General features: G+C 43.5%; 1 long non-coding RNA gene across 4 annotated transcripts, besides 1 other annotated feature; it reads right to left on the bottom strand.

Moving 5' to 3' along the window:
- Nucleotides 388-1,587: an enhancer, noted in NCBI's record as "BRD4-independent group 4 enhancer chr2:11565759-11566958 (GRCh37/hg19 assembly coordinates)". NCBI's record gives its function as "activates an origin of replication core promoter dependent on BRD2, P300/CBP, MED14 and CDK7 cofactors, and independent of BRD4, by STARR-seq in HCT116 cells {active_cell/tissue: HCT116}" and the evidence as "EXISTENCE:reporter gene assay evidence [ECO:0000049][PMID:35650434]".
- On the bottom strand, nt 5,183-19,923 carry LOC105373429 (uncharacterized). Of its 4 annotated transcripts, XR_001739285.2 has the most exons (4): nt 19,857-19,923; nt 19,126-19,326; nt 5,954-6,049; nt 5,183-5,710 (listed from the first exon to the last, which is right to left on the bottom strand). It is a non-coding gene; the product is annotated as an uncharacterized LOC105373429 (long non-coding RNA). The 4 variants fall into 4 exon arrangements; XR_007086219.1 differs by lacking the exon at nt 5,183-5,710 and having other exon boundaries at nt 5,793-6,049; XR_002959370.2 differs by lacking the exons at nt 5,183-5,710; nt 5,954-6,049 and adding an exon at nt 14,548-16,064.
- Nucleotides 19,924-20,470: the final 547 nt, after the last annotated feature.

The raw sequence follows: 20,470 nt of genomic DNA, 5'->3' as shown, positions 1-20,470 counted from the left end.
TAAAATTTGGAAAATGCAAAGAAGTATAAAGAATTATCTATATTTCTTCCTAGTTTTATTTCCATCCATACATAGTTGAAACACACAAAATAAAATTTTCTATCAGAATGAACTTTTGAACTCATAATGTTCAAAATAGAAAAAAGTATCCCTTTATACTTTCACAAGAAAATGTCTTTAAAATTTTAATTAATAGTAGGAGCATTTTTAAACCAGGACACAAAATGTATTAATTGACATCAATATCTTATTCTTCCAACATAAATTATTGCAGATAGTCTCCTTTATGTGGGACAGTCTATCCTAAGATTATGTAAAATTCAATGTATTAAGCGTTAGCTCTGGAAGAGATTAAAAAATGGTTGTGGGGTAGGTAGGTATGAGGACATGATTGGAAATGCACTAGAAAGAGGTACAGGGGTGTTGCAAACTTTTTGTGGTGGTGGAAACATTCTATTTTTGTTGTGGGTAGTGATTACATGAATGTATACAATTGCCAAAATTCATAACTGCACATTTAAGATCTGTGCCTTTTTTGTTATTAATAACTTAGTAAAAACCTTTAATCTTACTACCATTTGAAAGGTTCTTGTATCGGTTTGAACCCCGAGAGCGCACCAACAGACAACACGAGGCAGTGTGGGGCAACACGCTGTTTTAATGAGTGCCTGGGTGCAGGCGGGATGAGGCCTAAAATGGCGTCAGCCCCAAGTGATTACCGGACCGGAGTTTTATAGTCCTCTCTAAACAGGAAGTGTCCCGGTCTGACGTGACTGCTACGTAGTACCCGGAAGGCCTCTTTCTCCATCTTCAGGGGTACATGTCTTCCGGCCAGGGTAAGTGTCTTCCAGCAGGCTGTCTTCCTGCTTCTGCTGTCTTGCTGATGCACGCTGCTGGCTGCTGGCACAAGTGGTCTTGTGCCTTGGGACTGGGCCTGAGAAGGGAGGAGTTATTCATCCCTTCAAGCTTTCAGGCACTGGGGAGAATCTTTCATTCCTGCCTATTTGGTTATAAAAAAAAAAAAAGGAAAAGGGGCAACTTACTCAATAACTACTTCAGGCGTGACACAGGGGGTGGCATGGGCACCTTGGAAAAAGAAAACTTTAATTTTTGGGGGCGTTCTTGAGAGACGGGTTGGTATCATTGCGTCATTGTAGCAGGAGCATCATCTGGATTGTCTGGCGATTAACTGTAAGAGTTTTAATGGCTTTTATTATTAGTGGATAACCCAGGGGAGAAACAGGAGGAGCCCAGTGATGAAGATTACTGTCCCTACCAGCGTTTTACATCCTCCTAAATTACAGAACCACCTTCTAGAAGGTTTGCCGGGTCCCACCCTTTCCAGGTTTGGACCGGTACATGGGCTACTTTTCTGATGTTCGAAGCGATTTCTAGAACTGCTTTTCCGTTATTGTCTATGTTAAGACAACAATTGGAGATATTAAACTTACCACAGACCCCACCCTCTTCTGCTAATAAGTGTCTAGTGCCAGCCTGTTTTGATAAATTGCCGCGTGCATTTGGTTTTGTTGTTGCGCGAGCATTTCCAGGGCTGAGGCGGTTTGGTTAGTGATTATCTCTAGAACAGCCTGTAGTCTAATTATTCTATTTAGCATATATATGGGAGTGCGATAACCCCATGAACCATCCTCAGCCCAGGTGGCAGGACCATAATATTTGATGATCCGTTGCGGAGGCCACTCGTCCTCTCGCCATCTTTGGCTTCCTCCTACCTTTAAGGATCGTTTTTCTCTGTTTAAGTTATCATACACAGGGACTCCGAGGGTGTCGCCTGCCTGCTTTGGAAGTAAAAAGAATACGGGTTTAATTGTGCTTAGGAAGCAAGGACCTCGCCAGTGATAAGGTAGCCATGAGTAAGCCTGGGTTCCACATATCCAAAAGAATCCATCAGGGGCAGTCCATTGTAGGCTGGTATTCATAGGATTGACCCATCGTGCACTTAGGTGGGGGTATGTGGCATAAGGGTTGGTGGTGTTTGTACAGTTCCAGGCCCTTTTTGATGGAACACAGTTGAGGCAGCTTAAGTTAGAGGGAGACCAGGCTCCGTGGGGTAACCTTGGCCACCACTCGGCTGTGGAGGCGTTGACTGTTAAGGTTTGGTGACAAGGGCTTGCACCTATGGCACGATGGGTTTTATCAGTCCACTTGCGGGATATGCACACCGTCCCTCTTACTGGGTTGGTAAGTGTCCAGGACTGCGGGCGTTCCTGAAGAGTGAAAGTGAGGCTGGGGTTTTGGGATGCTAGTAAGTAAGGAGGAACGTCTATCCCAAACCATGGCCACTGTTCACTCATATGCGGGCTCCCCCACATACCCGGCAATTGGACACATTCATGGTAAGCGCGGTAAGTTCTCCTAGATCTACAAACAGGTTTTTTCCTGGCTTGGGAAGGGATACGTCTGCTTGTAGTTTTTAATAAAGGGATGGAAATACTACGGGTGGTTGTGGAGGGGAGTTGTTGGCTTTGGCTTTTGCCTTGGCTATCATCTTTTCTCTCTTTATGTCCTCTAGCACTTGAGTGTTTACTCCCCATTGTCCAATTTTGGTGAAGCAAAGCCACTGCTTCCCTTTGGGGCACATAGCCCCATTACGACTTTCAGATACTCCTAGATTTTTTACTTTATAATAACTTTTCCCTGATTCAACACATTCTTCAACTAAGGAGGCGGAGGTTGCAGTGAGCCGAGATCGCACCACCGCACTACAGCCTGGACAACAGAGTGAGACTCCGTCTCAAAAAAAAAAAAAAAGCAGCTAAAATTTAAAAAGTGACAACACCAAATGCTAGTGAGGATGCAGGGAAACTGGATTACTCATTCATTGCTGGTGGGTATATAAAATGATACAGTCACTCTGGAAAACAGTTTTGTTTCTTATAAAACTAGAGGCAAGTACTGTAAGACCCAACAATTACACTTTTGGGGGTCATTTGTTCCAGAGAAATGAAAACTTATGCCCACACAAAAGCCTGTGCATGAAAGCTCATAACAGCTGTATCTGTAACAGCCAAAACCTGGAAACAACCAGATGTCCTGAGAAGGAGGAACAGTTCAACACACTGTGGCACATCCATATCATGGAATACCACTCAGCAGTAAGAAGTAACAAACTATTTTTTTTCTTCAACTTTTAAGTTCCGGGATACAGGTGCAATATGTGCAGGTTTGTTACGTAGGTAAACGTGTGCCATTGTGGTTTGCTGCACGGATCATCCCATCACCTAGGTATTAAGCCCAGCATCCATTAGCTATTCTTCCTGATGCTCTCCCTCCCCAACCCCTACAGGCCCCAGTGTGTGTAAGAAGGAACAAACTATTGATACACATAACTTGGATGGATCTCCAGGGAACGGGATGGAGTGGGAAAAAAAAAAGCCAGTTGCAAAAGGTTGTATCCTGTATTGTCCTATTTATATAACATTATTGAAGTAGCAAAATTAAAGAATGGAAAACAGATTAGTGGTTGTCGGAGGCCAGGGACAGTGGTGGGGTGGGGTAGGTGTGGCTATCTAGAAGAGCAACACAAAAGATCTTTATGATGGTGAAACTGTCCTGTACTTTGTATCAGTGTCAATATCCTGGCTGTGATATTCTACTATAACTTTCCAAGTTTACCACTGGGGAAACTGTGTAAAGAATCCACAGGAGTTCTCTGTATTATTTCTTACAACTGCATGTGAGTCTATAATTCTATGAAAATTAACAGTTTAATCAGAAAAACTTATGAGTTATTCCACATTAGAACAAGTCTCTTTCAGACTTTGACTTGTATCTTCAAACCTTCTTCCAAACCTATTGTTCTTCTTACTCTCATAGAAACTTAATGTGTAACTGATAAAACAATTTAATGGGGAAAGGTCAATCTTTTCAACAAATGATGCGGGCGCATGTAGATGTCCATAGGCAAAAAAAGTTGACCATTTTCATCAACTTAGTGGGGTTTTTTGTTTTGTTTTGTTTTTGAGACAGGGTTTTGCTCTGTTGCCCAGGCTGGAGTGCTGTGGTGCAATCATGGCTCACTGCGGCCTTGAACTCCTGGGCTCAAGCGATCCTCCTGCCTGAGTAGCTGGGACTGTGAGTGCATGCCACAACACTCAGCTTCAGCTTAGTGTTTTGAGTAATTGTTCTTTTCTCCATTTCTTCCCATCTGTCTAAATGTAGTTTAGTGTATTTTTTGTTATTGTCTGCAGAGTTAAAGCATAAAATGGCTGAATAGAGCAAAAAAAGAAAAAAGAGTCTCTTCAATGGAGAAAAAATAAAATAATCAGTAAATATTGCAAAAAAGAATTTGTTTAAAACCTTACCCTGCTCTGCCTACCCCCACGACCTCTTCCTGTCACAGGCAACCATTCTACCAACGGAGATAATATTGCCAGAGAAGACGTTTTACCAGGGCAGGAGAAACATGCACCATCTTACGTCCCTTGCCCTCCATTTCTCTTCATATTTGTGTACCTGTTTGTAACTGAATGTGGTAATAGAAAATAGAAAAGACATGATGACTGGTGGCTGCTGAGTAAGCCTTCAGACACCCTTCCTAAATGCATGAGGATCTGCACTGGATTCTGCCCAAGGGCAGGTCGGGGGCAAAAGCAGATGAGTTGGCAAAAGACCACATGGAGACGAGACACCAACACTGGGGACAGGCTCATGCCAGTTTGGAATCCAGCCTTTGAACTGATTTCTCATTTTGCAAAATTATTTTCTACACCAGCTATTTCTTAAATGACTTCTGGTTGACTTGGGTGGTAACATTAAGATAAAAATGTGTTGGCAGTGAAAAAAACAAACCACACTTAAAAGAAATATTGAAGCTGGGCATGGGGGCTCACGCCTGTAATACCAGCACTTCGGGTGGCTGAGGTGGGAGGATCACTTGAGCCCAGAAGATCAAGGCTGCCGTGAGCTATAATCGCACCACTGCACTCCAGCCTGGGTGACAGAGAGAGACCGTCTCAAAAAAACAAACAAATATTGAAACGTTGCTTAGTTAAAAGCCTTTTACAATTTGTTTCCACCTAACATGTGGTTACTTATTCGATCACATAATCTGGTGAAGGAGAGTAAAGACCATGACACTGATTTGCTATTTACAACAAGGCAACATATTGCTTAGTGCTCATCAGCTTTCTAAAGAAGCTGAACATCATGTCCAGTACTTTGCAAAATTCTTTCAGATCCTCTGACAGCTTTAGTAAAAAATGTCATCACAAGCCAACTCAGTTGTCTACAAACAGGCTCTCATTTTACATTTAACTTTGAAAATATATTTACAATCCTTTGAAAATATATTTACAACAATTTAGAATCATTCTCAATTTCATTGCCTCTCAGCTGCACAGCTGGATTTTATTTGGTGCAAAAGGAAAAACTGGGTTGTAGGTAAACATTATATCATGTTTGGGGAGTGGTTTATAGAAATTTCAAGCCTCTTGTACTTTCATGAATTTTCTAACACTTTATTATTGTTATAATTATCTACTCATAATAATGACTGCCATTTATTGAGCCCATACCAGGTGCCGGCCCCTGGACTAGGAGAAACAGTTAATGTTTGTGTTACCTTGTCAGATAAGTGTCGTTGCTGAGGCTCAGGAGGATGAGGGCATGCTTGCCCAAAACTCCACAACTGGGAAATACTAGAGCCAGGATTCGGACCCCAGACAGTACGGTTCACAAGCCATATTCCCTTTAAAAATGAAGGTGACCCCTTGTCAGGCTATGGAATTTGAGGTGTGAAATTCTTTCAGCTCGTGCTGTAGTTACTAGAGATGGTCTTAATTGTCAGACAGCTCTTCAGCAGTTGGGGCAAACAGGCAAACATTAACTCATGATGACCATACCACCTGGATTAGTTTGTCCTTGTTGCATTGCTATAAGGAATGACCTGAGGCTGGGTAATTTATAAAGAAAAGAGGTTTAGTTGGCTCACCGTTCCGCAGGCTGTTCAGGAAGCGTGGCTGGGGAGACCTCAGGAAACTTACAATCATGGCAGAATGAGAAGACGAAGGAGGCACATTTTACATGGCTGGAGCAAGAGGAAGAGAGCGAAGGAGGCAGTACATACTTGTAAACAACCAGATCTCGTAAGCACTCAGTCACTATCATGAGAACAGCAAGGGGAAAATCTGCCCCCACGATCCCATCACCTCCCACCAGGCCCCACTTCCAACGCTGGGGATTACAGTTCGACACGAGATTTGGGCAGGGACACAAATCCAAACCATATCACTACCTAAGCCCATTCCTCCTACTACTGACCACTTCTTTCTTCCCTTGACCAGTGTGCATGGGTAGGAATACATACTGTATGACGCTGCTCGGTGAGAAGAAGCAATCTGACTAAACCCCTGGACTGCTTTCTGGATTTGGTTTTGTACTTCACTACTAAGGTTATTTTCGTTGGTCAGTGAACCTCTGGAACGGTAGTTCGAACAGCTTGTAATACATGTCTCATGAAAGTTACATGGATGTGTATGTATATACATGTATGCTGGAATAACTCTTTAAATCTTGATTTCAGAAATCTGGAATATTTATGCTTATACTCAAGTAAGGAATTTGATTTGAGGTATTTTAAGTAGAGTCACCAAAAATAATCCGTTGCAGCAAATTTAGAAAGTTATCATTAATGCTCAAAATATAGCATTTTCTACTTATTTTCACTTCACAATGTATCAAATAGGATTTCCAACATCTTATGAAAAGATACAGTATTTTCTCAAAGAGTAAGAAAACTGGGGCAAAGGGTAAATAAGGGTAGGAAAATAATGTGAAACCAGGGGAGAGGCTAGTACACAGAATACATGCTGTACAGCGTGTGTCATTGATTGCATCTCATTTTAAAAATAAAACGGCACATCCCACTTTCCTAAAAATGTGGCTTCTTGATCAGGAATCTCTATCTCTGTTACAGCAGTGGGACTTCTTGTCCTTTTTAATACTTTGTTCTTTCCTCCCTGCCTTAGGAAATATTCCATTTGATTCTGTCCTTGTTTTTTGTTTTTTTTTTTCCAATAGGCAGCCTTCCACAGCAGCAGTCTGAGACAATGAAAAATCACTTGAGCTTTTTAAAACAAATGATCGTGAGGAGCATTTGAGGATTCATTTGTCGAGTTAGTTGGAATGTCGTATGTGGGCAAGCTCATGTTTCCAATTTGGGACTTGGAGCAGGCAATCAGCTGTGTCGCATTCTCATATCCGCTTGAAGTCAGCCCTGAGAGCTGCGGTATCTTTAGTAGCTCACTGTGTATGGTGATAGCAAGTGTGCGAGTTGTCCTCACAGAAAACAGCTCACTTGATAGTTTATGAAGCTGCAACTTGGCAGTGCTATCCAAGACCTTTCTTTCAGAAATTGCTGTTGCCACTACCACACAGTGGACAAATCTGAAAGGGAGAATTTAGTTTTTCCACGGACTCTCCTTTTCCTATGAGGATTTTTTAGTACACCCTGTACATAAAACCATGGCTTACAAAGTGAAAACATTGATCGCTTTTTTTTTTCTTTTCTGTTTTTTGAGGCAGAGTCTCACTCTGTCACCCAGGCTGGAGTGCAGTGGCCCGATCTCAGCTCACTGTAACTTCTGCCTCCCAAATTCAAGTGATTCTCCTGCCTCAGCCTCCCGAGTAGCTGGAACTACAGGCGTGAACCACCACACCTGGCTAATTTTTTTATATTTTTTGTTTGTTTTTTAGTAGAGATGGGGTTTCACTGTGTTGGCTAGGCTGGCCTTGAACTCCTAACCTCAGGTGATCGCCAGCCTCGGCCTCCCAAAGTGCTGGGATTACAGGTGTGAGCCACCGTGCCTGGCTGATACATCAGCATTTTGAATGGATGAGTTGAATATGATTAAAAAAAAAAAAAGGCCAGGCATGATGGCTCACGTCTGTAATCCCAGCACTTTGGGAGGCTGAGGCAGGCAGATCACTTGAGGTCAGGAGTTTGAGACCAGCCTGGCCAACATGGAGAAACCCTGTCTCTACTAAAAATACAAAATATTAGCCAGGCATGGAGGTGCACACCTGTAATCCCAGCTACTCGGGAGGCTGAGGCACAAAAATCGCTTGAACCCAGGAGGCAGAGGTTGCAGTGAGCCAAGATTGCGCCACTGCACTCCAGCCTAGGTAACAGAGCAAGACTCTGTCTCAAAAAAATAAATAAATAAAAATGAAAATGAAATGTGAGTATCTATGTAGAACTGCAAAATGTCTTAGGTAAAACATAAAGTGTCCATTATTTTCCCTTTGTGCCACTGTAAATATGAAAAGAAATAATCAAATACTCTAGGCAGAATTGTAGGAGGGGGACCTAAAATTCTAAAATCAGTGTTTGCTGAACCTTTTATTTTTGCCTTCAATGACTTTTAAAAATAGATTATATTTTTAGAGTAGTTTTAGGTTTACAGAAAAATGATGCAAAGTACAAAATTCCCATTATAACCCCCTCTTTCTGTGCACAGTTTCCCCTACTATTAATGACATCTTGAATTGATGTAGTACACCTGTTGCAATTGATGACCTGACATTAATGCATTATTATTAAGTCTATAGTTTCCATTCGGATTCACTCTTTCTGTTGTACATCTCTACAGGTTTTGCTGAGTGCATGACGTCTTGTATCTACCACTACAGTATCACACCTAATAGTTTCACCACCCTAAAAATCCCCTGTGCTTCACCTATTGATCTCCCCTTCCCTACCCCTAACTCCTGGCAACCACTGGTCTTTTTACTGTCTCTCTAGTTTTGCCTTTTCCAGAATGATATGCAATTGTAACCTTTTCAGACTGGCTTCTTTAACTTAGCAATATGCATTTAAGATTCTTCCATGTCTTTTTGTGGCTCGATAGCTCATTTTTTTGTTGCTGAATAATTTTCCACTGCATAGATGCACCACAGTTTGTGCAGGAGCTGTGTGCTTGAGAAGCTATGTGTGCTCTAGGAGCTGTTCACTGGAGAAGCCACTCCTTAAAGCAGGCTGCGGGTCAAGCCTGTGGGAACCAGGAAGCAAACCGTTTTTCGTCTGCAGCATCTCTCTAGCGCCCTCTACTGACAAAGCTTAAAATTGTGCCAGCTAGCGAAGAAAAAAAATATGTAAAAGGCCCAGATTCATTTTCACTAGCAGGCAAAAAGGATGGTTTTGAGGCTGCCGGGCTATAAATCAAAAACGGGCACAACAATCTAACCTACCACAGCTAGTAAGATTCAAGGAGAGAAGCCAGGCAAACTGAAAGCTAATGACTTATGAAAAGCACCCAAGCTCACTCTCTGGACCAAAGCACTAGTTTTTTTTGTTTTGTTTTGTTTTGTTTTGTTTTGTTTTGTTTTGTTTTGTTTTGTTTTGTTTTTTGAGACAGAGTCTCACTCTGTTGCCCAGGCCGGAGTGCAATGGCATGATCTTGGCTTATTGCAAACTCCACCTCCCAGGTTCAAGCGATCCTTCCACCTCAGCCTCCTGAGTAGCTGGAATTACAGGTGTGTGCCACCATGCCTGGCTAATTTTTATATTTTTAGTAGAGACGGGGCTTCACCACGTTGACCAGGCTGGTCTTGAACTCCTGACCTGAAGTGACCCACCTGCTTCAGCCTCCCAAAGTGTTAAGATTACAGGTGTGAGCCACCATGCCCAGTCTCAAAGCACTAGTTCTGCTGATCAGTGAGTCTCAAAGTGCCCCCCTCGGATCTCTTATGCTAGAACCACCTACGGGCTTGTTACAACGCAGATTCCTGTGCTCCAGCTGGAACTGACAACTGAATTAGAATGAAGGAAGGCAGACAGGCATCTGTAGTTTAAACTTTTACTCCAGCTAGCTCTATGTACACTAACATTTAAGATTCAGGTGATCCTTGAGGGTAGGGGCCTTTTTAATTCATACTTGGCTCTTGGCCCAGTATTTGACTCTTAGAGGGTATTGCTGTAGATAGGCTGGTTCCTGCATTGGTTGGTTGGTTGGTTGGTTGGTTGAGAGATCTGATTCAAACCCAAGCAGCTGTAACTGGCCATGAGCTACAGCCCCAGCAATACTTTAACGGCATTTGGCAGATGAGCACGTCCCTTCACTAATGTTAGTAAAGCCCAGAGGTGACACATCCTCACTAGAATGGCAGATGGTATTTTCCATAGATGACTGTGGCAATATCTCCCATCCCACATCTTCTCCTACAATGTGACCTTGCCACCCTTCCATCAAGAGGCAGGGTCTATGTCCTGGATCCTTGAATCTAGGCAGGCTTGGGACTTGCTTGCAACTGATAGAATGTGCAGAAGTGATGCTCTCTGAGGCTACCTTAAAAAAGGCAATGGCCGGGCGCGGTGCCTCACGCCTGTAATCCCAGCACTTTGGGAGGCTGAGGTGGGTGGATCACAGGGTCAGGAGATCGAGACCATCCTGGCTAACATGGTGAAACTTCATCTCTACTAAAAATGCAAAAAATTAGCTGGGCGTGGTGGTGGGTGCCTGTAGTCCCAGGTACTCGGGAGGCTGAGGCAGGAGAATGGCGTGAACCCGGGAGGTGGAGCTTGCAGTGAGCCGAGATCGCGCCATTGCACTCCAGCCTGGGCGAGAGTGTGAGACTCCATCTCAAAAAGAAAAAAAAAAAAAAAAAAAGGCAATGCAGTTTCTTCCCTGTTCCTTGGGGCTCATGCTTTTGGAGCCATGAGTCTCCGTATGAAAAGTACCACTACCTTGAACCTCCACACTGTGAGGAAGCCCAGGCCTTCTGGAAAGGCCACATGTGGGTTCCCTAATCAACAGCCCTGGCTGAGTGAGGTTCCGCCCAACAGCCAGATCAACCACCAGACAGTAAGTGGTGATGTCTCCTGGGATTCCAACCCCCAGCTCTTGAGTCACTCTTAGCCATTAAGTCTTCCCAGCTGAGGCTCCCAAGCCATCCCACTGCCATGTCCAATTTCTGACCACAGAATCTGTGAGGGTAGTCAAATGGTTGTTATAAGCTGCTTAGTTTAGGGATAATTGGTTACACAGCAATAGTAATTACAACAAATTAGAAAGCACTTCTGGATTAGAATCACCTGGCCATCTCATCATCCAAATCATAGAAGCTGAAAAGCATAAGCTTCCACTTTAGCCTTCCCTCCACTGACAGTATTGCTAAGATCTTCCTTCCCCTCTGCTGAACATCACTGTGGAAGAGAAAACCCAAATACTCCTAAACTTGTTATAGTGTCTAAGAGTTGTATTTGAAAGACTTTAAAAGACAAAAACAAAAAAACACTAGTTCAGAAGTGTACCACATGCCTCACTACTTAATACCAGGGAGGCTTTATAAAGCAACATGAAAACCTAAACCAGTGTCATTTTTATATTCCCATCTGAAAAGAAAAGCACAAAATAATCAACTGTGCCGTAGAGTATCCAGGAATTGGTCAAGTAATCTTTAGTAAGCCTCTCCATTTGGAAGACCAAATGGAATAATGAGAAAGAGGAAATCATAGGGATCCATAAAACCCGGGTTCAAAATAGGTTCATCCTTATGGTGTCTGGGTGGTCTTGAGCGAGTTACTCAACCTCTCTGAACTTCAGTTTATTTATCTCCAAAACAGGATTATCTAATTATGTTCCTAGCCACAGGGCTGTTATGCTGACCCAATGTGGTGTTCAGAAATATGAAAGCACTTTGTACAGTGAGAAGACTAAATATGAACAGAAAAATGAAAGAAAAAAAACAAAATAAGCTACGTGTATATCCAGGCAATGTAGGCCAGTGTCAAAAAAGGTAAAGTAAGGGCTGGGCGCGGTGGCTCACACCTGTAGTCCCAGCACTTTGGGAGGCCGAGGCGGGTGGATCACGAAGTTAGGAGTTTGAGACCACCCTGACCAACATGGTGAAACCCCGTCTCTACTAAAAATACAAAAATTAGCCGGGCGTGGTGGCGCCCACCTGTAATCCCAGCTGCTCAGAAGGCTGAGGCGGGAGAATTGCTTGAATCTGGGAGGCAGAGGGTGCAGTGAGCCGAGATCGTGCCACCGCACTCTAGCCTGGGCGACAGGGCGAGACTCAGTCTCAAAAAAAAAAAAAAAAAAGAAAAACAGGTAAAGCAAAAAGCAAAACAAAAAATTCTCTATTAAACGTCAATGTTCCTGGCAGACACAGGTGCCCATATTTACCTGTTACAGTGATAGAGGATCCAGGAAGTGAAGTAGCATCACTTCACTGTCTTCCCTGCAAATCCTGTTTATACCAAGTTTTATACCGCTTTGCTTTGAGCAAATTCATCTGCTGCTGCTAAACTGCTGCCTGCCCCAGAACTCCCACTTTCGAACAAGCCTGTGATTGCTTTGCAAAGACTCATTTCCAATTCAGATTCCTAAGATAAGCTGCCAGTCTTCTTGGGGTCTTCCGTCTCACGGTTTTATGTCCGGCCAGCAGCAGGCCTAGCCCTCTCCTGTTGCTCAGTGAATTTCAATGCGAATCTTCTCTTTTCTACTTGCATGACCGAAAAGACCCTCAGAGACCAGCCAAGCCCATCATTTTACAAAACAGAAAACCAAGACCTAGGAGAGGAGAAGGCTCACAACCAGGTGTCACAATGTATTACAGAACGGAGCTCCTCTTTCCATAAATAGTTTTCTCCTCGTTATTCCTGCATCGAGCATGTGTTCCAGACTGCCTGCTTGACATCTCCAGATGGATGACTAATAAGTTTCTTAAACTTAACTTGTCCAAGCAGAACTCTTGATGCCACCCACCCAAATGTGTTCTTCCCCCGGTCCTCCCAATCTCAGTTAATTGCCCAGTTGCCCAGGCCAAAAACCCAGGAGTCATATTTGATTTATTTCTTTTTTCTTTTTCTTTTCTTTCTTTCTTTTTTTTTTTTTTTTTTGAGACAGAGTCTCACTCTGTCACCCAGGCTGGAGTGCAGTGGCGCAGTCTCGGCTCACTACAATCTCTGCCTCCCCGGTTCAAACGATTCTCCTGCCTCAGCCTCCCAAGTAGCTGGGATTACAGGCGTGCGCCACCACATCCAGCTAATTTTTATATTTTTAGTAGAGACAGGGTTTCACCATGTTGGCCAGGATGGTCTCGATCTCCTGACCTCATGATTCGCCCACCTCGGCCTCCCAAAGTGCTGGGATTACAGGCATGAGCCATGGCTCCCAGCCGGATTTATTTCTTTTATCTCACTTCCTACATCCAATTAACCAACACGTCCTGTGGCTCTGTCCTCAAAATACAGCCAGAAATTGCCTACGTCTCACCACTACCAAGACACCAGCACCTCTCAGAGGGCTTCTATTATAAAATAGCCCCCCACTGAGATTCCCTGGCTCCACACCTGTCTTTCTTGAGTCTTTTCTGCACATAGTAGCCAGAAGGGAAGTTTTGAAACCGTAAATTAGATCACTTCACTCTTCTACTGAAAGGGCTCCAACGGTTGCCCATCTCACAATAAAATCCAAACTCCTTACCATATTCTTTACACAGTGTACCCTGCCTACTTCTTGGGCTCCATCTCCTCCTACTGACTCCCTAGCACTCTGCAGTCCTGTCTCTCTTGGCCTTTTTGCTTTTCCTGGAGCGCACCAAGCTCATTTCCATCTCAGGTCATTTGCACTTGCCGCCTCCTCTCCTGAAATGCTCTCCACCCACATCTTCACATGGGTTGGTTGTTGTCTTCCTTTATGTAGGTTTCTAACTGAACCTACCTTGACCAGTCTTTCAAAAAGAGTACACCCCAATCACTCCAATTCTTTATCCTGCTTTACTCTTTTTTTTTTTTTTTTTTTGAGATGGAGTGTTGCTCTGTCACCAGGCTGAAGTGCAGTGGCACAATCTCAGCTCAACATCTGCCTTCCGGGTTCAAGCGATTCTCCTGCCTCAGCCTCCCCAGTAGCTGGGATTACATGTGCCCACCACCACACCCAGCTAATTTTTGTGTTTTTAGTAGAGATGGGGTTTCACCATATTGGCCAGGATGGTCTCAATCTCTTGACCTTGTGATCTGCCCACCTTGGCTTCCCAAAGTGCTGGAATTACAGGCATGAGCCACTGCACCCAGCTTTTTTTTTTTTTTTTTTTTTTTTTTTAGACAGAGTCTCACTCTGTTGCTTAGGCTGGAGTGCAGTGGTGCGACCTCAGCTCACTGCAACCTCCACCTCCCAGATTCAAGTGATTCTCCTGTCTCAGCCTCCCAAGTAACTGGTACTACAGGGATGTGCCACCATGCCTGGTTAATTTTTTTGTATTTTTTCGTAGAGATGGGGTTTCACCATGTTGGCCAGGCTGGTCTCAAACTCCTGACCTCAAGTGATCTGTCTGCCTCATCTTCCCAAAGTGCTGGGATTACAGGCGTGAGCCACCATGCCCAGCCTATCCTGTTTTACTCTTCTTTATAGCACCATCTCCACATGAAATCACACCACACATGTTCATGCACTTGTTTACTGTATGTCGTCACTGCTGTTCCTGAAGCTCCATGAGGATGGGGTCTTAGCCTGCCTTGGTCCCTTGCTTTATCCAGGGTGCCTAAAACAATGTCTATCGCATATCAATCACATAGCAGAATGTCTATCACAATATTTATTGAATGACTGAATCAGCAAACTCACATATAAAATTTGGGACAATCCAAAACTTTTTGAGAAACAACTTTTAGACTCAACACACAATGGGTGTACGTATCCTTTTTTAGCACATGGCTCATGTAGAGGCCATTTTATCTGTGATGGATTTACCACAGGGCCACAGTGCTTACAAAGAAGAGAGAGAATTGAACATTCTAAAGCGCGTTTAGCGCAAGGAAGGTCCTGCCTGGGCACTGGAGTTCTGGGTGGGACTTTGTTTTCCTGCAGCATAGTAAGGTACTGACAGATTCAGACTTTGGTGCATTCCCAGGACATGTGGCTTCCAGCAGAAAGGTGGGTCATTTCCAAGCAGTCGAAGCATTTCGTCTGTGCGACACAATTTAGAGCCCTTCCAGAATCCATTTTCTCAGTGGACCTCCAGGAATTCCCTGTCAGGAAAGAGTCAGACCTGCAGGGGGAGCTGATAGCATGCGTCCATCCTGGAAAGCCTCAGAAAATGGGGGTCCAGAAATCTAGCTATTCCTTCAAGTGGGATGGATTTAAAAGGTTATCGAATTTTATAAACATCCAGGATATTATTCTCTTACTCCTGCCAGAGGCTGAGAAATTGAAAGATTCTTAAGACTCAAAATCGCAAGTGGTCAAATTGCTTTTATACAGCCCGTATACGGCAGGATTTTATCGGAACTCTGGGGCCACTTCCTCTTCAAGGATAGATTTGAGAGTCCCTTATCTCCTTGTCTACAGACGTTGCCAAGGTGGTGGCTCCAAATGATGGTGAAGAATGCACAAGAAACACTGTCAAAATTCTGCCTCAAAAACACAAGAAGCCAGCTCTCATTATGAGATAGAAACTCTTGTGGGTTTATTGAGAGGACCCCAGAATTTCGCTTCATGCAAACAAGAGCAAAACCATGTGACCGTCCTGTTCAGAGGCCGAAAAATACTCAGCAAAATGGAAATCACTGTATTAATCTTTGTTTATTCACAAATAGCCAGGTCAGAATTAATTATCAAACCTTGCTTCTAAGTTCACACCAGGAACTCCATTAAGCTTTCCTGAAGCTGGTTTTTTTTTTGTGGGTCATAAAGTTTGCTTACTCTCAGACTCCAGTCCTTCAAGGCAACCCCTGGCAATGACAAAGAGTCCTAGTTCCCATCCCACTGTCACTCTAACAAGAGCCAGAATAGTGAGAAGGAAAAGGGGGTGGTTCCTCTCCGCCTGCTGTCCTGTGTTAGATCTGGGAAAGGGCAGGAGGAGACCTTTGCTGAGAGTGGTGGGCCTGGGACTGCCTCCAAGGCAAAAGTATTCAAGTCTTCACAGTGGCCTCAGCATCTCCTTTTCAAGCTTGTGAATTCCTGGACTTCTTTCTCAAGATCTTAAAACCAAAACAGCATATAGAAAAATACATTTTTCAAGGTTGCTCATTCCTTGTCCACACGGTAACATCCATGTCAGTGTATCTGATTATGTGCTCAGATCTCAGCAAGCTGTGGCTGCAAAATAAGGATGCATCTAGATTGTAATGACTTGGAGTCATCACCCGCCCAAAAGAGCAGAAAATTCAGGCCCCCTTCCCTTGGTTCCCTTCCTCAGGGTCCATGTTTGTCTACTATTACTTACATAATTAATAGCTCTAAAGGAATGCATCTTACAACTAACATCAAAAATTAAAAACACAACTCTTGGAGTACCTCCAGTTCAAGGTGTTGGCTGTTCCTAGTTGTCTGATGGTCATCCTCAGCCTGTGTGCTGAGGATCCACTCATCTGGTCGTCCCTGCTTGGAGTTATCTGCACTGGGATAACTGGAGGTGGGAGGCAGTGGAAATTTCGATTCCCAATGCCTCTCAGATTTGTTGCAGTCTTCCTGGATGTATCATCAGCATATGAAATAGGCATAGAGGGAAGAGGGGCTGCTTTGGCCGTGAATGTGACACATACGTACTTTGGACCTGTTGGGTTTGAGACACCAATGTTTCCATTACTGCATCTTGAAGGGTAGGGGCTTGAGGACCTCCGAGATTCTTCCAGATCATTCATGCCAAAGGCAAACCCTATGATGGTGTATGCTGATATTTGATGACAATGGAAAATGAGGTGTGTGCTTTTGGGAAGACTCTATCAGGCATATGGAAAGCGCTCTGGTGTTTGCCCCTTGCTCTTATGGCCTTCCTGTCAATTTCTTCATTTGTGACACGCTCATGCATCCATTCTTCATTTATTCATCCCCCTTTCCTCTCAGTTCTCAAAACATTGTATTTGGGACTCTTCTGGCATGTGTTTTCTCACATTGCATTGTGTCACCAATGCATGTTGGATAAATGAATGGAATGAGAAAGGATGGGGAAGTCATGTTTTGGCAAGTACTCCCACACAGGAAGAGAGCTGCAGCAAGAAAGTAACCAGACCACCCCCGCCCCCTAAAAAGCAAACATTTAAAAAAAACACAAATGGATATAAAACCCAATGAACTCCATGTCCTTACGATGAAAATAACAATCTTGGGATAGTTAGCGTAGCATTATTGTAGGGACAATAACGACAACAGCTGACTTTTTTGTATTGTTGATAATAATGATGTGAGCACATTCTATTTGTCAGGTATGCTGCTGAAAGTTTTATGTACACACTATGTATCTAATAGATACATATTATCTCATTTAATCCTCACAATGACCCCAGGAGGTAAGAATTATTACCCCCATTTTATATATAAGGAAACTGAGGCTGAGAGGTTAGGTCACTCCTACAAGATTGTATAGCTGCTAGGAGGCAGCTGGAATTCAAAGCTGGTCAGGGCGACTTCAAAGCTCAGACTCTGTCCACTCTAGTATCTTGCCACTGACATCATCACTGTGTCTAGTCCATATGATAAATGGTGTTCCTACTGGTGACCCTAAATCATCCTGTCATTTCCTAGTCTTAGAAAAGTGCACAGATGTATACTACCATTTGGAAAGAGCCCTTCCCAAAGGCTCAAAGTTAAAATGTTTTAGTTCTCAGTTGGTTACTCTTCAAATACCTGGAAATTTCATTTATATGGAGATCTTTTTCCCTATCAGTAAAACAAATGAGGAATTACAGTAGTTTTCTTGAGATTAAACCCCCAGAAACACACACAGAATGCCAGGCACAAATGCACCATGACTTTGCACATGAGAAGAGTGATATATTTTGGTTTGTTTCTAAAATCTTAAGAAATCATGTCCCAGACTAGTTTAACCTCTTGAGCCATAAAACACATTGGCCTATTGGCCTACTGGATTCAGAGAATAATCCATAATGACTCAATTCAAAGTCCCTCTCCTGGGTCCCTGTCAAAAGCTGAGTCACAACTTTTTTATACTTATAAACTGGATGATCCCTGCCACCAAATGGCTTTCCTTTCCATTTGCCCCCACCACTGTCAGGCTACTGCTCAGCCTGAAAACAAAAGGTCCTGAAGGCATCAGATTAGTCTCCTTCGGGCTTATTCTTTCCCAACATGATGCAAGTGAAGGTTCTTGTAAGCAAAAATTGTAAATTCATAGGTGGAGCTCAGGGCTTAAACATACTGCACAGTGAACTTCTCTTTTTCTCCTTTAATTGGCCATCTTGGATAGCCCAGCCTCAACATAATTCATTAGGCTTTCATGCTATATTTTATTTATTTTCCTTCTGAGCCAAGAAAGAAGTAAGAGGTTAAAAAGCACACATTTGGAGTTAGAAAGAGTGCCCTCACATCTCAGCATTGTCCCATTCTCTGAGCAAGTTGCTTCAGTTTTTTACAGTCGTATCTGAAAAGTGGGGTTATCGTCCCTTCCTCGCCCATTCTTCTTTCTCTCTTTTTTCCTTACTTGAAAATCCTTGACATGTCAAAAGCCAAGGAGAGTGTCTAAGTTTGCAAGAAGCTTTTGTCACAGTACTTCCTCCATAGTAAGTTAGTTATTCTAATTATTAAGAGAGAGCACAAAGCCAGGCACAGTGGCATGCTCTTGTAGTCCCAGCTACCTGGGAGGCTGAGGCAGGAGGATCACTTCAGCCCAGGAGTTTGAGGCTGCCGTGTACTGTGATCACTCCTGTGAACAGCCACTGTACTCAGTCTGGGCAACATAGTGAGACCCCATCTCAAACAAAAATAAATTTTTAAAAGAGAGGACACAGCTGGTTAGGTTCACAGGAAGACTGAGAGTCCAGCAATGCCACCGGGGGTCCCAGCACAGACATCAGGAGGGGCTCCATAGTTTAGCTGACATAAATTATGGCGCGTCAGTTGGCTTTGTTATTGGTCAATGTAGTGGGCTGAATAGTGTCCCCCAAAATTTATGCCACCAGAACCTTCAGAATATGACCTTATTTGGAAATAGGATCTTTGTAGATGTAATTAGTCAAGTGTTGTGCGATGAAATCATCCTGGATTTAGACTGACCCTAATCCCAATGATTGGCATCCTTGGAAGAACAGGCCAGGACACAGAGACATGAGAAGGCCATGTGAAGACAGGGCAGAGATTGGAGTAAGCTGGGATAAGCCAAAAACTTATCTACCAAAAGCTGGAGAGGCAAGGAATTTCCTACCTAGAGGCTTTAGAGGAAGCATAGCCCCGCTGACACCTTGATTTCAGACTTCCAGCTTCCAGAACTGTGAGATAATTACATTTGTATGGATTGAAGACACCCAGTTTGTGGCTCTCTGTTCCGACAGCCTAGGAAACTCACACAGCCATTCTCTGCTTCTTCACCTGAACATTCTGGCTTTGTCTTGCTATAAAGTTTGAGCTGTGAACAGCAAATGTGAATGCGATGAATGAACTGGTACCTGAGGAGGGATTTGAGAAAGAAGAGAACAACCTCCCATCACACCCACACAAACACTGCCTGCAAGATTAAGACCGAATTCTTTAGTGTGTCCTTCACTACATGCCAAGATCTCACCAGCCCAGTGTTTCTAGGGTCAGCTGCGTTGGAATAGGATTCATTCCTCTCCCAGCCACATGCAACTGTTCAGTCGCCAGGACATTCTTGTCCTCTCCCATCCAAATCCAACCCGTCCTCAAGTTTTAGGTTCTGCGCCACTTCCTCCAGGAAGTACACCCTAATCCATCCTGTATCACCAAGGATGCTTTTGGTTGGGAGTGCAAAAATACCTAACTCCGGCTGACTTAGACAATGAGAGGAATTTATAGTTTCACATGGCTGAAAACCCCAGAATAAGAATGGCATTAGGTAAGAAATATTTTGGTGGTTCTAGTTTATTTCTGTCTCTCCATTCACCTTCTGCAGTTAGCCTTATTGGAAGGCTGACTCACCTCATGGTTATAAAACAGCTCTCAGCAGCTCCTGGGGCTTCTTCCTTCAAATCCAACACTAAGGCTCAGTCTTTGTTTCAGCATTCCTGGCCAAAGTCTCACTCTTCACTCTGATTGGTCCAGCTCGGGGTGGGCCTGAGCCAATCACTGTGCCCAGGGGGATGGCTTGCCCTGATTGGCCAAGCCAGGTCTTGTGTTCAACATCTGAAGCTGGAAAGAAGAATCTCCCTCACTGGAAACACGTGGTTCTCCAACTAGAAGCAATGGCTGCTGGAAAAGGGGCAGGAGGAATGGAGGCTGAGAGACAACAATCAGATGTCCATTTCAACATTTTGCATCGTTGGTGCTCAATAAAGTTTTGTTGAAGTGAATTACATTTTAAAAAGGAAATAGAGAAAAAAGTTGTTTTCAGACTTTCAGATTCCCAAAGGATCCTATTACGTTGTTTTCCCCACGTTGATTAATCCCTTCTTCAGTAAGCAAGGCTGATCGTAGACAGCAGAGCGGCTCTCACGTGCTGAAACCAGATACATTTCGAACATTTTCATCATTTAAAAACGAAGTCCAATGTCCCCTGCATTTTTTGTGTGTGAATGTGTGCATCGCTATAAATA

This window comes from Homo sapiens, chromosome 2 (genome assembly GCF_000001405.40).
Source record: "Homo sapiens chromosome 2, GRCh38.p14 Primary Assembly".
Classification (NCBI taxonomy): domain Eukaryota; kingdom Metazoa; phylum Chordata; class Mammalia; order Primates; family Hominidae; genus Homo; species Homo sapiens.
Note: the sequence above shows the minus strand (reverse complement) of the source record. Positions and strands in the feature narration are given on the sequence as shown.